The 21,737-nt window shown below is 40.4% G+C and overlaps 2 long non-coding RNA genes across 2 annotated transcripts in view, besides 1 other annotated feature; one reads left to right on the top strand and one right to left on the bottom strand.

Annotated features, from left to right (window-relative positions):
• Window positions 1-10,549, bottom strand: part of CRAT37 (cervical cancer-associated transcript 37) — a 31,512-nt gene extending 20,963 nt beyond the window's left edge. The window contains exons 1-2 of the long non-coding RNA NR_110106.1: window positions 10,257-10,549; window positions 572-667 (exon numbers count right to left, since the gene is read on the bottom strand). This is a non-coding gene — a long non-coding RNA (cervical cancer-associated transcript 37). The remainder of the gene's footprint in view (window positions 1-571; window positions 668-10,256) is intronic.
• Window positions 1,432-1,571: an enhancer, noted in NCBI's record as "active region_10110". NCBI's record gives its function as "activates an Ori minimal core promoter by ATAC-STARR-seq in GM12878 lymphoblastoid cells {active_cell/tissue: GM12878}" and the evidence as "EXISTENCE:reporter gene assay evidence [ECO:0000049][PMID:35858748]".
• LOC107984778 (uncharacterized) overlaps window positions 4,183-21,737 on the top strand; it is a 66,533-nt gene continuing 48,978 nt past the window's right edge. Inside the window, exons 1-2 of the long non-coding RNA XR_007064763.1 lie at window positions 4,183-4,219; window positions 4,694-4,811. This is a non-coding gene — a long non-coding RNA (uncharacterized LOC107984778). The remainder of the gene's footprint in view (window positions 4,220-4,693; window positions 4,812-21,737) is intronic.

Below are 21,737 nucleotides of genomic sequence, written 5' to 3'. Positions count from 1 at the left end.
TAGAAGAGAAATAATTAACAGATTGGATTTTATCAAAGGTAAACATTTTTTTCTCTAAGATGCCATTAAAAGAATGAAAAGATTACCAGCAGGGAGTGGTGGCTCACGCCTGTAATCCAGCACTTTGGGAGGCCGAGGCGGGGGGATCACGAGGTCAGGAGATCGAGACCATCCTGGCTAACACGGTGAAACCCCGTCTCTACTTAAAATACAAAAAAATTAGCCAGGCGTGGTGGTGGGTGCCTGTAGTCCCAGCTACTTGGGAGGCTGAGGCAAGAGAATGGCGTGAACCCAGGAGGTGAAGCTTGCAGTGAGCCAAGATCGCGCCAGTTCACTTCAGCCTGGGCGACAGAGTGAGAATCCATCAAAAAAAAAAAAAGAATGAAAAGATTACCTATACAATGGAAGAAAATATTTCCAAACCACACAACCAACAAAGAGCTCATATTCAGAATATATTAAAAAAGAAAAACTCTAAAAACTCAATAGTAAGTGTATTAGTCTGTTCTCACACTGCTATAAAGATACTACCCGAGACTGGGTAATTTATAAAGGGTAATTTAGAACTTACAGTTCCACATGGCTGGGGAGGCCTCAGGAAACTGACAATCATGGCGGAAGGTGAAGCAGGCACATCTTACATGGCAGCAGGTGAGAGAGGGCAAGCCTGGGAGAACACAGGAAAAATTACCATTTATAAAACGAGCAGATCTCATGAAAATTCACTCAGGATCATGAGAACAACATGGGGGAAACCACCCCCATGACCTAATCACCTCCCACAGGGTCTCTTCCTTGACACATGGGGATTACGGGGATTACAATTCAAGATGAGATCTGGGTGGGAACACAGGTAAACCATATCAAGAAAACAACACAGTTTAAAACACAGATGAAAGAATTAAGCAGACACTTTATCCAAGGGGAGATAAGGATGAGAAATAAGCACACGAGAAAATGCTCAGCATCATTTACCAGTAGGATAATGTAGATTAAAACCATGATCGGCTATCACATCATGCCTATTAAAATGTCTGAATTTTTTTTTTAATCTGACAATATCAAGTGCTACTGAGGGTGCAGAACATGAACTCTCATATATTGCTGGTGGGAATGCAAGATGGTACAACCACTCTGAAGAAAAATAGCAGTTTCTTATAAAGCCACACATGCACTTACTACATGACCCAGCAATTTCACTCATGGGGACTTACCCTAGAGAAACGAAACTTATATTTCCACACACTCCTGTACATGGATGTTTATTGTGGCCCTATTCATAATTGCAAACTTGGAAAGAACTCAAATGTCCTTCAGAGAAAAGGGCTACTGATAAATGGAACAACCTAGTTAAGTATTTCATTACGCTGAGTAAACAAAGGCAGTCTTAAAAGATTACATACTGTTTGATTTTGATTCCACTGATATAACATCTTAGAATAGTCAAAAGTACGGTGATAGGAAACAGATCAGTGGTTGCCAGGTGTTAGGGGTTGGGGGAGGATGTAGCTACAAAAGGGAAGTGTGAGATTTTGGGGAGTGATAAAACTGTTCTCTATTCTATTGTGGTAGTGACTACACCCATCTATAGATATATTAAAACTCATAGAACTCTATATCCATTAAAAGAGTCAATTTTACTGTAAAACAATTTTAAAAATTTGTATAGGTTATATTTATAGATCTATAAAAATCACACTTATAGACTTATAGATCACATCTATATACCTATATAAATGTCCAGAAACCAAAATTTGGAGCAGTTCTTTTATGTCATTAACTATCCATAACATAAAACACTGATTAACTCACATTTTCCTGATCAATAATCAGCTGTTTTCACCTTTTTTGCTGAAATATTCAGTGTTATATTTTAGTGTTAGATATTTAGATAAACATAAAATTTATTTCTTGAAAATGTATTTACTGAAGCAGCAGAAACATAAAATTAAAGTGCCAGTGATTTCATGTGATAGAAGTCGAACTCTGAGATTTATTCTTCTGTAGAAGAGAGACACAATAATGTCCTCCACACAAAAGCTTGACAGATCAAACTTTTCAAGGAAAGGAAGTTACGTGATGAACAGTTTCATGATCATAGTTGTGTACAGCAGTACATTACCATGTTTATCAAGTCACTGTGTCTAGGTAAAGAACATCCCAAGCAGAGGGAAGACTGTAGGCAAGATTCCTCGGAAACCAAAAAAGGCAATGGGCTGGAGCCCCGAGATGGAGGGGCAAGATGATACCAGAGGATGTGGGAGGACTGGGCAGAGGTCCAATCGCACAAAGGCTAGCTGACTCAGCTAACGGTCCATATTTCATCCTAAGAAGAGTAGGCAATTTTTTGACAGTATTTTCGGTAACATGATCAGATTTTTGTGGGTTTTTTTTTTTTGGTAAAATATACAGAGCATTAAATTTACCATTTTTAAGCATTCGGTTCAGTGACATTCAGTACATTCACGTTTTTCTGCAACCACCACTACCATCCATCTCTCGAGCTTTTTATCTTCCTCTCACACTGAAAGTCCTTACTTATTAAACAATTGCTCTCAATTCTCTCTCCCCTCAACCCCCGGCAACCATCATTCTACTTTCTGTCTCTAAGAATTTGACTAGTAAGTACCTCATAGAAGTAGAATCCTATTTTTCTTTTGTGATTGGCTTATTTAACTTAGTGTAATGTCTTCAAGGTTCATCCATGTTGTCAGAATTTCCATTTTATGACTGAATAATATTTGTGTGTGTGTGTGTGTGTGTGTGTCTATGTGTATCACATTTTGTCTATCATCCATCAATGAACACTTGGGTTGCTTCCACTTTTTATCAATTGTAAATCATGCTGCTATGACCATGGGTGTACAAATACCTGTTTGAGTCCTTTCTTCATTTATTTGGGGTATCTACCCAGAATTGGAATTGCTGAATCATAGGGAAACTCCACATTTAATTTTTTGAGGAACCTCCATAGCATTTTCCGTGGTGACCAGATTTATTTTTAGAAGACTATCCCAGCTATAGTTTGGCAAACAGACGGATGGGTCAGGAATGTCTACAAGGAGACACTTAACAGGCGATTGCAGGAGCCCAGGTGAGAGATGATGGTGGTGGCTTGAAAAGTCAATCAACAGAGAGAGAAGCAGACAAACTTGAGAAATATTCACGAGGTAAAAGTAACAGAACATGGAGATGCATTGGATATTAGTTGCCTGGGGAGAGGGATTATGTAAGGCACCATGAGCCATGTGGCTTTATCCTTGGGTCAAACAGCAATGTCCAGTGACCATGTAAGCAGGGCAAACATGACACTGGGGGACGTCACTGGAGGCTGCGTGACCATCCAGTCTATGGTTGGCTGCCTGGGTTATGCCATATACTGAGTCCTTAAGGAGATTACGATATAGTTAGATTTCAACATTTTCTTCACCAAACGCTATGAGTGAAAGGAAGAATAGAAAGAAACTGACTTATTTTTGAAAACCTACAAGTAGGTACCACTTAGCCTTCCCCTTGTCAAGGTGCGGTGGGGCCCTGCGCACAGCTGCCCCCTGCCTCAGGGACCTCTGACCACATATCACAGAACATTTCTCAGAAAGAGGCCCACTCACAAAGAAAGATAATTCCCAGAAGGGTTAGCAGGTTACCCAAGGTGTTGATGAAACAGGCCAGGTTGCCACAGTTGCTCAGCTGTGTGTGTTTGTTCCTCGTTTGAGTGTGTACAAGCGTTGCCATTGTGCTATAGGAGGGACGGCGTAGGCGGAACTCTCAGCCACAGGGCGGGTCTCCCCCTTACCCTCCCACACGCAGACTCTTCATCAGAGAGAGAGAGACCCAAGAAAGCAGCCATACACATATCCACACAAGGCCAGGCAGTGTGCAGCAAAGTTTACATGTCTGCTTGTTTAATCTTCACAATGACTACGTGACATTATTCAGATAGCCTCATTTCCGTCATTATAAAGATGAGAGAAGTGGAAGTTCAGAGACAGCAAATTATTGCTCAAAGTCACATACCCAGGCGGGGCAGCACCAGGTCCCCTGAACCCCAGGCCCTCCCTCTCACCCTGGCACTCTGCCAAATGACTGCTAATGAGAATATATGCTCTGAAGGAAGATATGAAAAAAATTGCTTCCACTGAGGGTGTTCTGGGACACAGAGGCAGTGGGATCTTAAAGAGAAGGCTTTTCATCGGTGGAGTGGAAGAACAATAGCAGAGTGAGTGGTGTTTGAGGGGAGTCGAGGAAGAGGATGTCTGGACATTTCAGATCAGGGACAGGAACTCAGATGGAACTCTGCTAGCAGTGGGGAGCTTTTGAAGGACTTTGAACAGGAGAGTGAAGTGAGCCAAATATTACTTAGAACCCTCTAAAAACATAACAAGGAATGATAGTCTCTGTTTCAGCTGAGGTCTGATAACAGATGCCATAAACCAAAGTGCGGGGTGAGAGCATCTTGTATGACTTACAAAGAAATTCACCAAAAATTTGGCTGTGACTCTTCATGCCTCACCCCTGCTGAGGTGCTAACAGGTCAGACATAGAGAAGATTATTTTTAGGAGAAAGCTGTCAGCCTTTATAATGGGGTTGAGATGTGAGGTTGTCAGGGCAAAAATGTATATGTGTCTTGCCTGTGGCTAGACGTGGGCCACATGGAGAGACATCTGCCTGGGTCTTCTTCCTCCCACCCAGGAGAGCTGCCCCCAGTGGAAGGGGAGCTATCGGAAGCCTTGGATGCCCAGGAGCTGAGGAGGGAACCATGCTGTGATGCCAGTTTTAACCACCTGCCAAGTCTGAAAGTGCTAATTGAGTAAGCATTTCTGTCCCTAATCCCCCATCCCTCCCACTGAATCACAGGCAGCCTGGTGAGCAGGGGAGAAGGTGTAGTAACTCAGCCCCCTCCTACTGCAAGTAGACACCATGCAGTGGGAGACGGGGGCAACTAGCTTTGCATGAGGATCAAAGTTTTAGTGATCGTGGTGGTGAATTTTATCTGTCAACTTGGCTAGGCACCTTGGTCAGACACCAGTCTAAATGTGGCTATGAAGGTATATTTTGGACGAGATTAACATTTAAATCAGTAAACTTTAAGTAAACCACATTACCCTCCATAATATGGGATGGCCTCATTCACTCCATTGAAGGCCTTAGGAGAAAAAGGCTGAGGTCTCCCAAAAACAGGGAATTCTGCCTCCAGACTGCCTGTGGGCTCTGGGTCTCAGGCCCGCTGGCCTGCCCTGTGAATTTCAGGCTTGCCAGCCTCCACAATTGTGCAAGTTGATTCCTTAAAATATTAGGTTGGTGCAAAAGTAAAATTGCAGTTTTTACCATTGAAAGTAATGGCAAGAAACACAATTATTTTTGCACCAACCTAATAAATCTCTCTGTGTGTGTGTGTGTGTGTGTGTGTGTGTGTGTGTGTCTTCCTATTGTTTCTGTTTCTCTAGAGAACCCTGATTATTACAATTATTATAGTGGCCTGTGTATTAACCACAGAACTAACACTTTTGTGATCAGATTTTTTTTTTATCATCTAAGAATACAAGGACAGGCTGTGGGGTCTGCTTAAGATTTAAACCAAGGGCTGTGGAAGAATTAGCATCATAGAGCAGATTTGAATGGATGGGGGAAATGGATTTTATTCAATCCTAATAGTTTAGTGCATCAGAATAAAGGAAAATCCAATCAAATGAACTATTTAAAGGAGGGTGGGGCAGAGATCCAGTTCTGGAGGCTGCTACAGTAGCCTACACATGGCTCAATAGAGATTTCTGCTTCAGCGGTGACAGCAAGAATGTAAAGGTGTGTGAAATGGAAGAAACCCTGAGGAGAATATCTGAGAGGATATGATGGATTAGATGTGAGCCACGCAGTCAAAGAAGTTGAGGAGAGAGAGGGGAGTGATGATATCAAAGAGGCAAACTGGGAAGCCAGAAGCTCTAATGGGGCAGGGAACTGAGAGGATGACCAGGAGACAACATCCAACTAGCACACACAAGCTCAAAACCAAAGGTCTGGAAAAGAAAAACAGGCCTCAGAATCATCAAGAAGGTGTTACAATGGGAAAGGCACAGATTGTTGAGGACTCAGAGGGGAAGGACTAGAGGAGGATCCAGAGCTTATGGGGCCTGGAGCTTTTAAAATTTGGGAAGGCATCTTTAAGAAAAGAATGCCTGCAGGCCAGGCATGGTGGTTCAAGCCTGTAATCCCGGCACTTTGGGAGGCTGAGGCAGGTGGACCACATGAGGTCAGGAGTTTGAGGCCAGCCTGACCAACATGGCGATATCCTGCCTCCACTAAAAATACAAAAATTTGCCAGGCATTGTGGCACATGCCTATAATCCCAGCTACTCGAGAGGCTGAGGCAGGAGAATCGCTTGAACCAAGGATGTGGAGGTTGCAGTGAGCCGAGATCATGCCACTGCACTCCAGCCTGGGCGACAGAGCGAGACTCTGTCTCAAAAAATAATAAATAATAAAAAAAATGAACATAAATAGAGAAAAGAATGCATGCAAATACAACATGAAGTACACATGTGAGTAATTACTTAAAATTGAAACAAGTTATACATTTTCAAACAGTTGATAAGTACAATCTATACCATAAGATTTTTAAAGATTGCATGATATTTTTAGGATAAACTTCCTGACATCACTTACAATAGTTTTTTCCTATATTTTTGGCTACACACTCCTGGAACCTCTTCACGGGACAAGAATTTTATAATAGTATTTTCTATTGATAGAAAGATAATTCAGTTTTATAGCATGGTTGATTGAAATTTGTTTAGCTATTGATAATTTACAAACATTTCCTTCAACTTCATGATTGTTCTTAGTAATGCCTAGCTCAGGCAAAATCTGCAACTTCACCCACAGAGACACTCACGGGTGGTTGTGTATATATTTCTGCAAATACAGGAATTCTGAGAAACAATCTTTGTCTCAGTTCCCATCAAAATTTTTAAAATATAATTGTATACATTGTACTTTAAGTATCCCTGATAGGCAAGATGATCTGTCTTGAGTAGTCACATTGTACACATCTGATGACTGGGAGGGTTTTCCAGGGACAGGCAATTTAGCATTGTAAATTACAAGCCATGCTTCTTCTCTGGTAGTCACATACTTACAGAACCAGGTGCCATGGGACACATTCACATCACCATAGGACTTTTGGCCCTGCATCTTTGTGTCATGACGTCAGTTGACCCAGCAGAGAGAAGGGAAAAGGTAGCCTTCCACTCTGTGGTGCTAATTCCTCCACACCAGGTCAGCTGACAATAACTCCATTCACAGAAATGCCTGTAAACCATATAAATGGAACTGACTAAATTCATATGACTACATTCTCAGCTCAACCTTCTTTAGCTGGATCCCAAAGGTGTTTTTGCTCACTTCACCACTCTCTGACAAGAAAAGAAGTGGAAGGGAGGAGATAAGGATCTTGCAAATATTGCAATATCAGGTAACCATGTGAACCTATCACCAGGCCTCCTCCCACAGCCTGGGAAGGAGGGTATGCAATGAGGAGCCCTGAGACTCCGGCTCCATTCATTTCATGGTAAATCTGTGACTCATTAGGACAGAACCTAGAGGTACAACCATACTTCAGAAATGAGAGACAGAAAGAGTGCCATAATTAAATTCTAATTTAGAATCATTGTTTCTTTCAGGTGGGTTTAGAAGGTAGATTTTCCTTTCCTTTTAATTTACGCATCAACCATTCATTGACCCTTTGCTAGGCACTGAGGTTATACAAATAAACAAGAATTGGTTCCCTTTTATATAAGACACATAAACAAATACGCTAGCGTGTGTTCAATGATGGAAGCCCCAAGGAGAGAACTGTGCTCACGGCTGGAGTTGCCAGGGAGGTCCAAAGAAGGCTTTCTTAGGCTGGTGCTCCATGTGAGTACCAAAGGGACCACACGAGTTTGCCAGACGGACAAGGAAGGTGAGTGCTTTCCAGGCAGAAAGCCAGATGCAAATGAACTCAGGTGAGATGCAGCAGAGCACGTTCAGGGAAGGGCAATTAGTGTGCAAAGCCCAGAATTTATGGTGCATGATGCAGCTTGCCTAGAAAGGAGCCCAGTGCAAACAGAAAGGCATGCTGAGGTAGGCAGTGTGAGGATAGCTGGAACAGGGACCCCGCAGACAAGAGGTCCAGGGAAGACAGAGCTGCCTGAGCTAAATCAGTGACAGCGATGATGTGCAACAGCAGTCAGGATTTGGTGATAACTGACTACATACTGAACTTGAGGAAGAAATAAGAGTTCAAATGTAAAGACTTCTTTTAATTAGAATAGTAAAATCATTTTATTCGAGAAATTTTCAAGGAAGAAGGAAGGTAAGAGAGTAGTATGATAAACTCCCATGTACCCATCGCCCAGCTTCCATAAGGATCAACATCTTGTCCATTTTGTATACATATCATTCAAAATTAATTTATAAAACTCCAGTCATTATAAAAGTACAGCAACGTCACACTAAACTAAATTTGGCCTGAAGATACCTCCATAACCGAGTTCTTACGTAACAAACTGCAACCTAAGTGAACTAGCTGAAAGCCTAACTAGGAATATACTCTTATGACAAATAACTGAGTCTCAGCCAAGCACATCAGCTGAGCTTCAGTCAATCACAGGTGGCTGACTGGGCATGGTTATTCATGCCTGTAATCACAGTACTTTGGGAGGCCAAGGCAGGAGGATTGCTTGAGTCTAGGAGTTCAAGACCAGCCTCAAAAAAAGAAAAAAAGAGATGATCAACTAATCCAAATAGGACAAGACACCGAGCTTTGTCTCTGATCTTCAATTCTGTTTTCTGCCCATAAACGCTTCCTGACAACATGACAGACTGGAGCTCTTAGTACCTGTTCTGGTTCTCAGAGCTGCCCAATTCTTAAACTGGTCTTTGTTCAAACTCTGTTAAACTTATCTAAGCATTTTAGTTTTAACAGTAACAATATATGAATTAATACACTTTTGATATCAGGTAATTGAGGAGGAAGACATCCAGTGAACAGTGTGGGACAATTAGTTAACTATATGGTAAAATATTAAGTTAGATCCATACCTCATACTATATATAAAAGGCATAATAGGCAAAAAGTCTTTAAATGCTGTTAAACATTAAAATAAAATACAGCTGAATATTAGATAACTAAGTAGATAATTAGATAACCAATTTTATAGTTGGAAAGAACTTTCTAAGCATAAATTTAATAGAAAAATAATTGCAAAATAAAAGAGGTACAGTTTTAACCAAATGACTTTTGTAAAACCTTCTGCATGCTAGTGGTAATGAAAAATAGATCGAGAGAAAAGTGGCAGACTAAAAATGTGTATATATATATATTACAAAGAATTTATTCCTTTACATTATGAAGCACACTTACAAATTAACAAGAAAATACAAACGGGAATTTAACAAAATAGCAAAGAACATGAACAATCCTTAAAAGAAACTACTTAAATCACTTTAAATTTAATCGCTATTTAAATATAGAAGACAAAATCAATCTTACTAATCAAATAAATTACAATGAAGCTGAAAGTCCATTGTTGCTTATCAAATAGACAAAATTTCTTTTTAAAGAGCATGCTTAGAGTTGATGAACTACTGGAAACTGGCAGCCTTATATACCAATCATGGGAGTAGAAAGTGCTATCATCTTTCTGGAGGTCAGTTTGACAGACAATTTCTACCGAGAGTTTTACAAATATTCAGGCATTAACCCATTAATTCCATTTCTAGTAATTATTATTATTATTATTATTATTATTTTAAGACAAAGTCTCGCTCTTGTCCCCCAGGCTAGAGTACAGTGGCGCAATCTCAGCTCGCTGCAACCTCTGCCTCCCAGGTTCAAGCGATTCTCCTGCTTCAGCCTCCCCAGTACCTGGGATTACAGCCCCCTGCCACCACGCCCGGCTAATTTTTGTATTTTTAGTAGAGACGGGGTTTCACCATGTTGGCCAGGCTGGTCTCAAACTCCTGACATCAGGTGATCTGCCCGCCTCGGCCTCTCAGAGTGCTGGGATTACAAGCGTGAGCCACCGTGCCCGTCCCATTTCTAGTAATTATCTTAAGAAAATAATCAAACATGTATACGAAGATATCTGTACAAGGGTGTTCATCGTAGTATTAATGCTAACAGTGAAACATTGGTATATTATTCTGTTCTCCCATTCCTATAAAGAAAAACCTGACACTGGGTAATTTATAAAGAAAAAGGCTCTCATTGGCTCACGGTTCTGCAGGCTGTATTAGAGGCTTGATGTTGGCATCTACTTGGCTTCTAAGGCGGCCTCAGAAAGCTTCCAATCATGGCGGCAGGTGAAGGCAGGGAGCACGCAGGTCACATGGCTGGAGCAGGAGCAAGAGAGAGAGCGAGGGGGGAGATGCCACACACTTTCAAACGACCAGATCGAGTGAGAATTCACTGAACTATCATGAGAACAGCACCAAGAGGATGGTCCTAAAGCATCTGTGAGAAATCCACCCCCCTGATCCGATCACCTCCCACCAGGCCCCATCTCCAACACTGGGGATTATATTTCAATATGAGATTTGGGCAGGGACACACATCCAAACCATACCAACTGGCAACACTGTAAATATTCAGTGGTCAAATGTGAAACTATATTGTAAGTTATGGCAAATTTATGCACGGAATATGGCACAGATATTAAAACATCACATTTTCAAATTCATTAATGGCATACAGCATTGCTGACAATGTATTATAGAAAAGAAAATGACCCACTTTCAATTTTAAAGGGATGTGTGTGTGTGTATATAGTTGCAGTTTTACATATACATGGTTGGCCAGCCGTGATGGCTCATACCTGTAATCCCAGCACTTTGGGAGGCCAAGACAGGTGGCTTGCTTGAGCCTCAGGGGTTTGAGACTAGCCTGAGCAATATAGCAAGACCTCATGTCTATTTTTTAAATAAAAACAATAAAAAATAAAAAATATGTACACATGATTATACATAGTAAAAAGATTGGCATTAAATATGCTAAAATGTTAACCTTGATTATCTCTTACAGCTAGGAATCTGGGTGAATACTGTTATTCCACACATAATTTTCTATATTTTCTACCATGAACAGGCATTACATCTGTAACCATAAAAATAATGTTATTTTGTTTATTGAAGTTCATTTATTTATATTCTGTTTCTAAAATGATTTCAGTATTGGAAAAGGAATTGACTCATTACTTCACAAATATAAAAAGCAATATCAAAATCCATAATGTGAATATTTGTTTGCCTGGGGCCAACTTACCAAATCAAGAACTGCACAAATGAATGAAGTATGCAGCAGATTCAGAGCCTGGTGATGTACTTTGATTTCATACATAATATTGAAACATTTACAGTTATGTCTATAATCTGACCTTAGTGCCCAGCCTCATGAAACAATCTATTTTTCCCTTTTTTGGTCAATGTCTTTCCATACACATGTGTTGAGGGGTGACTGTCCCCTCAAGGAAGAGGAAATCTACTATACTGTGTACCATGCAAATATTTTTCTAGGCTGAGATTATTACTTCCAGAAAAAGGGAGATTACTGCTTTCTAATGTTTTTCAGTTTAAATAATTCTGCTAGTGTGGTCTTTTACATTCAGGTAAAATCTGACTACCTAAAAATTCCTCATCTTGAAATTAGATAAGATATTGGCCTTTCAATTCTGGAGGTCATCATTTCTATCTGTCCCCAGCTCTTTTTTACCTATTTTATCAGCTCCTTGAACTTTTCTACACACAATGCGATGTCCAGAACTCTCTTCCTTACTGATACAGTTATCACATGCCATATCTGTATGCATTTTCTTGAAATGTGGTAACAGATGTGTACACATATGGTTTAATGTGTACAGAATGCAGAGTCACTACCCTCTTCCTGAACGGGACGAACACCAACAATGCAGGTTGTCACATCACACACTGACACATGCATTCAACGTGGGCCAAGAAAACAAAAATATTAATAAAAACAAATTTTCCCAGGGGCTTTTTATGTCAGGTTTTTGTATTCATCTGCTTGGGATGCCATAAAAAAATACCACAGACTGGGTGACTTAAACAATGGACATTTATTTCCTCACATTCCGGAGGCTGGAAGTCCCTGATCAAAATGCTGGCTGATTTGGTTGCAGGTGAGGGCTCTCTTCCTGGCTTACAGACAGCTGCCTTCTCACTATGCCCTCACATGGCCTTTCCTCTGTGTGCCTGCAGAGAGCAAGAGCTTTGGTCTCTCTTCTTCTTCTAAGGACACCAGTCGTATCAGATTTAGGCCCCACCCTTATGACCTCATTTAACCTTAATTATCTCCTTAAAGGCCCTGTCTCCAAACACCACATTGGGGGCTAGGTCTGCAAGATATAAATTTGGGGGAGACACATTTCAGTACACAACAGTTTTGTCAAGTCAAGAGTTACATGTCTAGCAGGGCATGGTGGCTCATGCCTGTGATCCCAGCACTTTGGAAGGCCGAGAGAGGATTGCTTGAGGCCAGGGGTTTGAGACTAGCCTAGGCAACATAGCAAGACTCTGTGTCTCAAAAAAATTAAACAATTTGCTGGGCAGAGTGGCATGCACCTGCATTCCCAGCTACTTGAAAGACTGAGGTGAGAAGATCACTTGACCCCAGGAGTTTGAGGCTCCAGTGAGCTATGATGGCACCACTGCACTCCAGCCTGGGTGACAGAGCAAGACCCTGTCTCTAAAAGGAATAAAGAAATAAAACGTACAATAACCTGCCTAAATATTTCTATTCTTGCCTATCCACAATTACGTCCCCACAGGCTTACCATAATTGTCCTTTAAAAATATGAGTCAGATCAAGTCACTGATCTGCTCAAAGCCCTCCAAGATATTCCCTTTATACTCAAAATACAAACTCCTTAAAGTAATCTACCAGGCCCTGTGTAATTTGGCCCCACTTACCTTACCAAGCCTCCCTTCTTCACTGCATTCTCCAGTAGAAGCCTCCCTTTGGTTCCACATAAGAGGCTGGTCTCTGCCGGCTGCCCTGGCCCTTCCATCCATCTTCCTGGGATGCTTTTGCCAGGTTTGCCCCCTGCACTCTCAGACCTCCACTCAACTACCACCTTCTGTCCCCTTCATCTAAACTCAGTCCCACCTCACTCCATGATCTCATTCCATTTGTTTTAATGCACACATATATATAATAATTGCATTACATATATATGTTATGACTTGCAATTATAATGCAATTATACATGTTACTATTTGCAATTATAATACAATTATACTATAATTGCATTACATATATAAGTTACTATCTGCAATTATAATTACATTACAATTGCATATATATGCAATAACATATATGTACTACCTGCAATTATAGTTTACATTTATTTATTTATTATCTCTCCCTCCTTTTAAAAAATCTCATTAGCCACTGTACTTCCAAACCCTAGAAGCGTGCCTGGCACATAAAAGGTGCTGAATCATGGGTTGGAAAAATGGATCCTGTGTGTAGAATTTTGCAATATTTCCCCTCCTAAGCGCAGGGTTTTACTTTGATCTGGTTAAATTTTATTTCTAACTGTTGATTTCTCTGCTCACTGTTCACTTGTCAATATTATTTTGAATATTACTTTGTTGTTAATCATATTAGATATTTCTCTCAGCTGTTGATCATGAAAAATGTAAGTACTCCCTACAGTTGTATCAAGAAGCAAAAAAATGTAAGTTTCTAATAAGCTGTAAAATATGCAAAAAACTAGTTATGTGTGTTGCCAATATCATATATATGATTATATATGTATGAATATATATATGTTATGGATTGAACTGTGTCCCCTCACAATTCATATGTTGATGTTCTAACCCCTCGTGCCTTGGAATGTAACAGTACTTGCAGATTGGGTCTTTAAATAGGTGATTAAGTTAAAATCAGTCCATTAGGATGGACCCTAATTAATCTGACTGGTATCCTTATAAGAGGAGGGGATCAGGACACAAGAGAGATACCAGGGGCGTGCACACAGGGAAAAATGCACGCAGAGAAACAGAGAAAAGGTGATTATCTAAAAGTCAAGGAGGCAGGTCTCAGGAAAAGCCCTGCCAACTCTTTCATCTGGAACTTCCAGGATCTGGAACTGTGAGAAAGTAAATTTACCTTGTTTAAGCCACCAAGTCTGTGAAGTTTTGTTGTGGCAGGCCAAGCAGACCAGTACTAGATGTAAAATCAGGATAATACACAAAGGCCTGCTTCAGAAAAGAAATCAAAGGTCAGCCTACTTAGGGAAGCAGTAGGAACCATGAGAAAAGGACAAGGCTCCACAGTTGTGCCTTCTCTCTGCCCCATCCCATCCCTAGTTCACATGGGCTGGGGAAGCTGGAAGCTGAGGGCTGGCTGCAAACTAACCAGACGTCCTTCTTTATGCTGTCCCGGAGACAGCCCCAGCCTCTGCCCAAGCTTGGGGCAGGGAAAAAAGGGGACTTGGAGAGCACATAAGAGGGATATTTTACAAATGCCTTAAGAAGCTAAAGAAGACTAAAAACTGCAAGTGAGTGAAAGGTTATGCAATGTGGGCTAAGGTGGTGTTAAGCATTTCTGAAACTCATTGGGGAAAGAGGGATTTCAAAAGTATAGTTTGGAAGATTTCATAGGGGGAAAAAAAAATCATGATTATACCTCAGTGAATGGAGACTCTTCAATTAACCAATGACATTTATTGCATAGGCTAAGTACTTTTTTTCCTACCAAACTGGAACATGAGAAGAAGAGGGCAATTTGTAGGTAGCGTATTACCTGCCATCACTCATGCTTTGCTTATTTTTCATACTGCACTAATATCCTCCCTGGCTGCAGCTGTCTGGGCTGTTTTGGCTTACATATTTCATGGGCATTTAGGTACTGGATGCAAGGATTAAATTTGATGACAAATGAGAAGGTAGATTATAGTGGTGGGATTTTCACAAGTATAAAGCCACCACCTGACCTGCTGAAATCACAAGGGCAGGAATTAATGGCATAGAAGATACCACCATATATTCCTTGGTCACTTTTCGTCTGTCCTTGGAATAAGTTATCAGCTCCCTGCCAACCTCGTGCAAAGGCATGCACAATCTGAATGATATCCACAGAACACTGAATGATACTGTGTCCAATCTGGAAGCACGGGAAGTGGCACTCAGGAAGACATAAATCAGTTTATCATACCCAGACCAAAAAGAAGGAAGCAGACAGGACACAAACATTGATTTAATATGAGAGGCTTTACATATGTTACCCTCCTTTAATCCTTACAACAACCCTCAATTTTCCTGAATTTTATTCTAAAAATGGTGAGGCTCCGAGAGGTTATTATCTGCCAAGGTCACCTAGCTGGTATATGACGAAGTCAGGATTTCGGTCCAGATCCGTGTGACTTCAACCCTTGCTCTTTCCAATATACCCACTTTTTCTCCCTGAATGTTTCTTTAGATGGAGACTTTGCTTAACTGCAGCCTCCAAGAGGCATGAGAAATTCACATGGAGGACTTCTAAAGGAACGGGTGGAAGGCAATGCCTCCTGAGCCTTTGTATGTGAAAGGCATTCTGCTCAGCACTGCAAAGAACACAGAGAAAACCACCTAAAGATGCTCAGAATCTCATGCAAGGGCTGATTTACATGTCACTTTTCTTTGAAATATTTTTTTATTGCCGTAAGGGCACTTAACGTGAGACCTATCCTCTTAAAAAATTGTAGGCATACAATACATTATTGTTGATTATAAAGATATCATACCTCACAATTGTCGGGACGGCTATTACCAAAAAAAAAAAAAAAAAAGCATTCTGTCACTTGAGACAACACAGATGAATGTGGAGGACATTATGTTCAGTAAAACAAGTCAGGAACAGAAATACAAATACCACACAATCTCACCTACATGTAGAATCTTAAAAAGTTGAACAAATAGAAAAAGAGAGTAGAAAAAGAGACTGGGGGTTAGAGGATTGGAGAGATGTTAGTCAAAGAACACAAAATTTCAGTTAGATGGGAGGAATAAGTCGTAGAGATCTATTGCCTATCATGGTGACTATAGTTATTATACACCGGAAAATTGCTAAGAGTAGAATGTAAGCATTCTCACCACAAAAAAAAAAAAAAAAGGTAAACATATGAGGTAGGGCATATGTTAATTAGCTCAATTTAGCCATTCCACAATGTGTACATATATCAAAACATCATGTTGTACACCAAAAATATATATAAATTTGTCAATTAAAAATTAAATTAAACAAAAAACAAGTGTGGGCAAGGATATGGAGAAACTGAAACCAGTGTATGCTGTTGGTGGGACTGCAAAATGATACAGCCGCTATGGAAAACAGTGTGGAGGTTCCTCAAAGAGATAAAAATAAAACTACCACATGATTCAGCCATCTCATTTTTGGGTATATATCTGAAATAATTGAAATCAGGATCTAAAAAAGAGATATTATCACATCCGTGTTTATCGCAGTGAGTAAGAAATTCACAATAGCCAAGATAAGGAAAGGACCCATATGTTCACTGACAGATGAATGGATAAAGAAATTGTGGTATATACATACAATGAAATACTATTCAGCTTTTAAAAAGTGAAAAATTCTGCAATATGCAACAACATGGATGAACATTGAGGACATTATGCTAAGTGAAATAAGTTACACACAAAAAGACAAGTACTACATGATTCCACCTCCATGAGTCATCTAAAATGGTCAAATTCTTAAAATCAAAGACTAGAATGGTGGTTACCAAGGGCTTGGAGCAGAGGCAAATGAAATGTATTAATCGGTTTTTTTGAGAAGGTCATGGCAGACGAGAGGCAGGACTAGATTGCAGCTCCCACTCAGATGGACAGAGCAGTGTGTGTAGTCTCGCATTGTAAACTTTTGCTCCAGAACTACTGCAGAAATAATTCAGGAAAGCCAAGAGAACCCACGGACCCTCTGAAGGAAGCAAATTGCTCCTGCAGGACCCAGGAGACACCCCAAATACCGTGACTGCCCAAACTCTGGAAGTGAGAAAGGGGGATCTTCTGCCTCTGAACACACATGCTCACTAAGGAACCTGAAGGTCTACAACACGGAAGAAGATTCTGATCTAACCTGGAGCTGAGTCAATTTAGAGAGCCAAGCGAAATACAGGAGTAGAGGAAGCAGCGGGAAAAGCCCCGTGGGCTCTCTGCGTCCCCTGGGTAGCCATTTCCGCCTTGCCTCACAGGGGGCCTTGGGGAGGACTGCCAGAAAAGGACTGGGAAAAGGCCACAAGGAGAAGGAAACCTCCAGCTGAACTTTGTAATAATTCCAACCGCATGAGAAATCTCCTGGCCAGAACTCAAGGGAGGGCATGAATCCTGTGTGCAGACTCCACAGGTGGGGAAGCATGAAAGCCCTACTTACTTTCATAGCTGGGAGGTGAGTAGCCTGGAGCTAGTTCTCAGCCCTGCTCACCCACTGCCTGGAAACAGACTCGGTGCTGTTGGGGGGTGGGTACAGTGAAAGTGAGATCATCCTTTTGGCTTGCATGGGAGCTGGGTGAGGCCTGTGACTGCTGGCTTTCCCCGACCTCCCTGACAACCTACATGACACAGCAGAGGCAGCTATAATCCTCCTAGGAACATAACTCTATTGACCTGGGAACCACACTCCCATCCCCCACAGCAGCCACAGCAACACCCTCCCATAAGGAGAGTCTGGGCTCAGACACACCTAGCCTTGCCCCCACCTGATGGTCCTTTCTACCCACGCTGGAGCTGAAGACAAAGGACTTATACTCTGGGGAGTTCTAGGGCCCTGCCCACCACCTGATCCTCCCTATACTACCACAGCTGATGCTTTCTTGAAAGTGCCACCTCCCTGCAGGAGGCCAACCAGCACAAAAATAGTGCATTAACAACCGAAATTAAGGACCCTCACAGAGTCCATTTCACCCCCCTGCCAACTCCACCAGAGCAGATGCTGGTATCCACAGCTGAGAGACCCACAGATGGTTCACATCACAGGACTCTGTATAGACAACCCCAGTACCAGCCCAGAGCCTGGTTGACCTGATGGGTGGCTAGATCCAGAAGACAGATTACAATCACTACAGCTTTGCTCTCAGGAAGGCAAATCCCTAGGAAAAGAGAAAGTACTACATCAAGGGAACATCCCATGGGACAAAAGAATCTGAACAACAGCCTTGAGCCCTAGACCTTCCCTCTGACACAGTCTACCCAAATGAGAAGAAACCAGAAAACCAACCGTGGTTATATGACAAAACAAGGCTCTTTAACACCCCCAAAAAAAATCACTCCAGGTCACCAGCAATGGATCCAAACCAAGAAGAAATCCCTGATTTACCTGAAAAAAGAATTCAGAGAGTCAGTTATTAGGCTAATCAGGGAGCCACCAGAGAAAGGCAAAGCCCAATTTAAGGAAATTTTTTAAAATGATACAAGAAATGAGGGGAGAGATCTTCAGTGAAATAGCATAAATAAAAAACAATCAAAACTTCAGGAAACAATGGATGCACTTATAGAAATGCAGAATGCTCTGGAAAGTCTCAGCAATGCAATCAAATGAGCAGAAGAAAGAACTTCAGAGCTTGAAGACAAGGATTTTAATTAACCCAATCCAACAAGACAAAGAAAAAAGAATAAGAAAATATGAACAAAGGCTCCAAGAAGTCTAAGATTCTTTCAAACAACCAAACCTAAAAATAATCGGCAATCCTGAGGAAGTAGAGAAATCTAAAAGTCTGGAAAACATATTTGTTGGAATAATCAAGGAAAACTTCCCTGGCCTTGCTAGAGACCTAGACATCCAAATACAAGAAACTCAAAGAACACCTGGGAAATTCACCACAAAAAGATCATAACCTAGGCACATTGTCATCAGGTTATCTAAAGTTAAGATGAAGGAAAGAATCTTAAGAGCTGTGAGGAAAAGCACCAGGTAACATATGAAGGAGAATCTATCAGATTAACAGCAGATTTATCAGCAGAAACCCTACAAGCTAGAAGGTACTGGAGCCCTATCTTCAGCTTCCTTAAACAAAACAATTATCAGCCAAGAATTTTGTATCCAGCAAAACTAAGCTTCATAAATGCAGGAAAGATACAGTCTTTTTCAGAGAAACAAATGCGGAGAGAATTTGCCACTACACCAAGCCAGCACTACAAGAATGCTAAAAGGAGCTCTAAATCTTGAAACAAATCCTGGAAACACATCAAAACAGTACCTCTTTAAAGCATAAATCACACAGGACCTATAAAACAAAAATACAATTAAAGATTAAAAAAAAAGTATACAGGCAACAAATAGCATGATGAATGGAATAGTGCCTCACATCTCAATACTAACATTGAATATAAATGGCCTAAATGCACCACTTAAAAGATAACAGAATTGCAGAATGAATAAGAATTCACCAACCATCTGCTGCCTTCAAGAGACTCACCTAACACTTAAGGACTCACATAAACTTAAAGGGGTGGAAAAAGATATTCCATACAAATGCACACCAAAAGCAAGCAGGGGTAGCTATTCTTATATCAGGCAAAGCAAACTTTAAAGCAACAGCAGTTAAAAAAGACAAAGAAGGACATCATTATGTAATGATACAAGGCCTTGTCCAACAGGAAAATATCACAATCCTAAATATATATGCATCTAACACTGAAGCTCCCAAATTTACTACTAGACCTAAGGAATGAAATAGACAGCAACAAAATAATAGTGGGGGACTTCAATACTCCACTGACAGCACTAGACAGGTCATCAAGACAGAAAGTCAACAAAAAAAATGGATTTAAACTATACCCTGGAATAAATGAACTTAACATATTTACAGAACATTCTACCCACAAACCTCAGAATATACATTCTACTCATCAGCTCATGGGACTTTCTCCAAGATAGACCATATGATAGGCTATAAAAAAGCCTCAATAAATTTAATAAAATTGAAATTATATCAAGCACTCTCTCAGACCACAGTGGAATAAAACCGGAAATCAACTCTAAAAGGAACTTTCAAAACCATGCAAATACATGGAAATTAAATAATCTGCTCCTGAATGATCGATCATTGGGTCAACAATGAAATCAAGATGGAAATTAAAAATCTCTTCAAACTAAATTACAATAGTGACATAACGTATCAAAACATCTGGGATATAGCAAAGGTGTAAGAGGAAAGTTCATAGCCCTAAATGCATACATCAAAAAGTCTGAAAGAGCACAAACAGACAATCTAAGGTCACACCTCGAGGAGCTAGAGAAAAAAGAACAAACCAAACCCAAGCCCAGCAGAAGAAAGGAAATAAGATCAGAGCAGAACTAAATGAAATGGAAACAAACAAAAAAAAATACGAAAGTGAAACAAAAAGCTGGTTTTTTGAAAAGATAAATAAAATTGATAGACCATTAGCAAGATTAACCAAGAAAAGAAGAGAGAAAATCCAAATAAGCTCAACTAGAGACAAAACAGGAGATACTGCAACTGACCACAGAAATACAAAAGATCATTCAAGTGTACTATAAACACCTTTATGTACAAAAACTAGAAAACCTAGATGAGACGGATAAATTCCTGGAAAGATACTAACCTCCTAGCTTAAATCAGAAAGAATTAGATACCCTGAACAGACCAATAATAAGCAGTGAGATTGAAATGGTAATTTAAAAATTAACAACAACAACAACAAGAAAAATCCAGGACCAGATGGTTTCAAAGCTGAATTCTACCAGACATTCGAAGAAGAATTGGTACCAATCCTATTGACACTATTCCACAAGACAAAGAGGGAATCCTCCCTAAATCATTCTATGAAGCCGCTATCACCCTAATACAAAAACCAGGAAAGGCATAAACAAAAAAGAAAACTACAGACCAATATCCCTGTTGAACATAGATGCAAAAATCCTTAACAAAATACTAGCTAACCTAATCCAACAACATATCAAAAAGATAATCCACCATGACCAAGTGGGTTTTATACCAGAGATGCAGGAATGATTTAACATATACAAATCAATAAATGTGATACACCACATAAACAGAATTAAAAACAAAAATCACATGATCATCTCAATAGACACAGCAAATTAAACAAAATCCAGCATCCCTTTATGATTTAAACTCTCAGCAAAATCGGCATACAAGAGGCATAACTCAATGTAATAAAAGCCATCTATGACAAACCCACAGCCAACATAATACTAAATGGGGAAAAGTTCAAAGCATTCACTCTGAGAACTGGAACAAGACAAGGATGCCCAATCTCACTACTTCTCTTCAACATAAGTACTTGAAGTTCTAAAAAGAGCAATCAGACAAGAGAAAGAAATAAAGTGCATCCAAATCAGTAAAGAGGAAGTCAAACTGTCTCTGCTGATGGTATGATTGTATACCTAGAAAACCCTAAAGACTCCTCCAAAAAGCTCCTAGAACTCCAGCAAAGTTTCTGGATACAAAATTAATGTACACAAATCAGCAGCTGTCCTGTACACCAATAGCGACCAAGCTGAGAATCAAACCAAGAACTCAACCCCTTTTACAATAGCGGCAAAAAAAAACAAAACAACAACAACAAAAACTTGGGAATACACCTAACCAAGGAGGTGAAAGACCTCTACAAAGAAAACTACAAAACCCTGCTGAAAGAAATCAGAGACAGCACAAACAAATGGAAACATGTCCCTTGTTCATGGATAGGTAGAATC

This window comes from Homo sapiens, chromosome 15 (assembly GCF_000001405.40).
Source record: "Homo sapiens chromosome 15, GRCh38.p14 Primary Assembly".
In the NCBI taxonomy this organism is placed as follows: Eukaryota; Metazoa; Chordata; class Mammalia; order Primates; family Hominidae; genus Homo; species Homo sapiens.
Note: the sequence above shows the minus strand (reverse complement) of the source record. Positions and strands in the feature narration are given on the sequence as shown.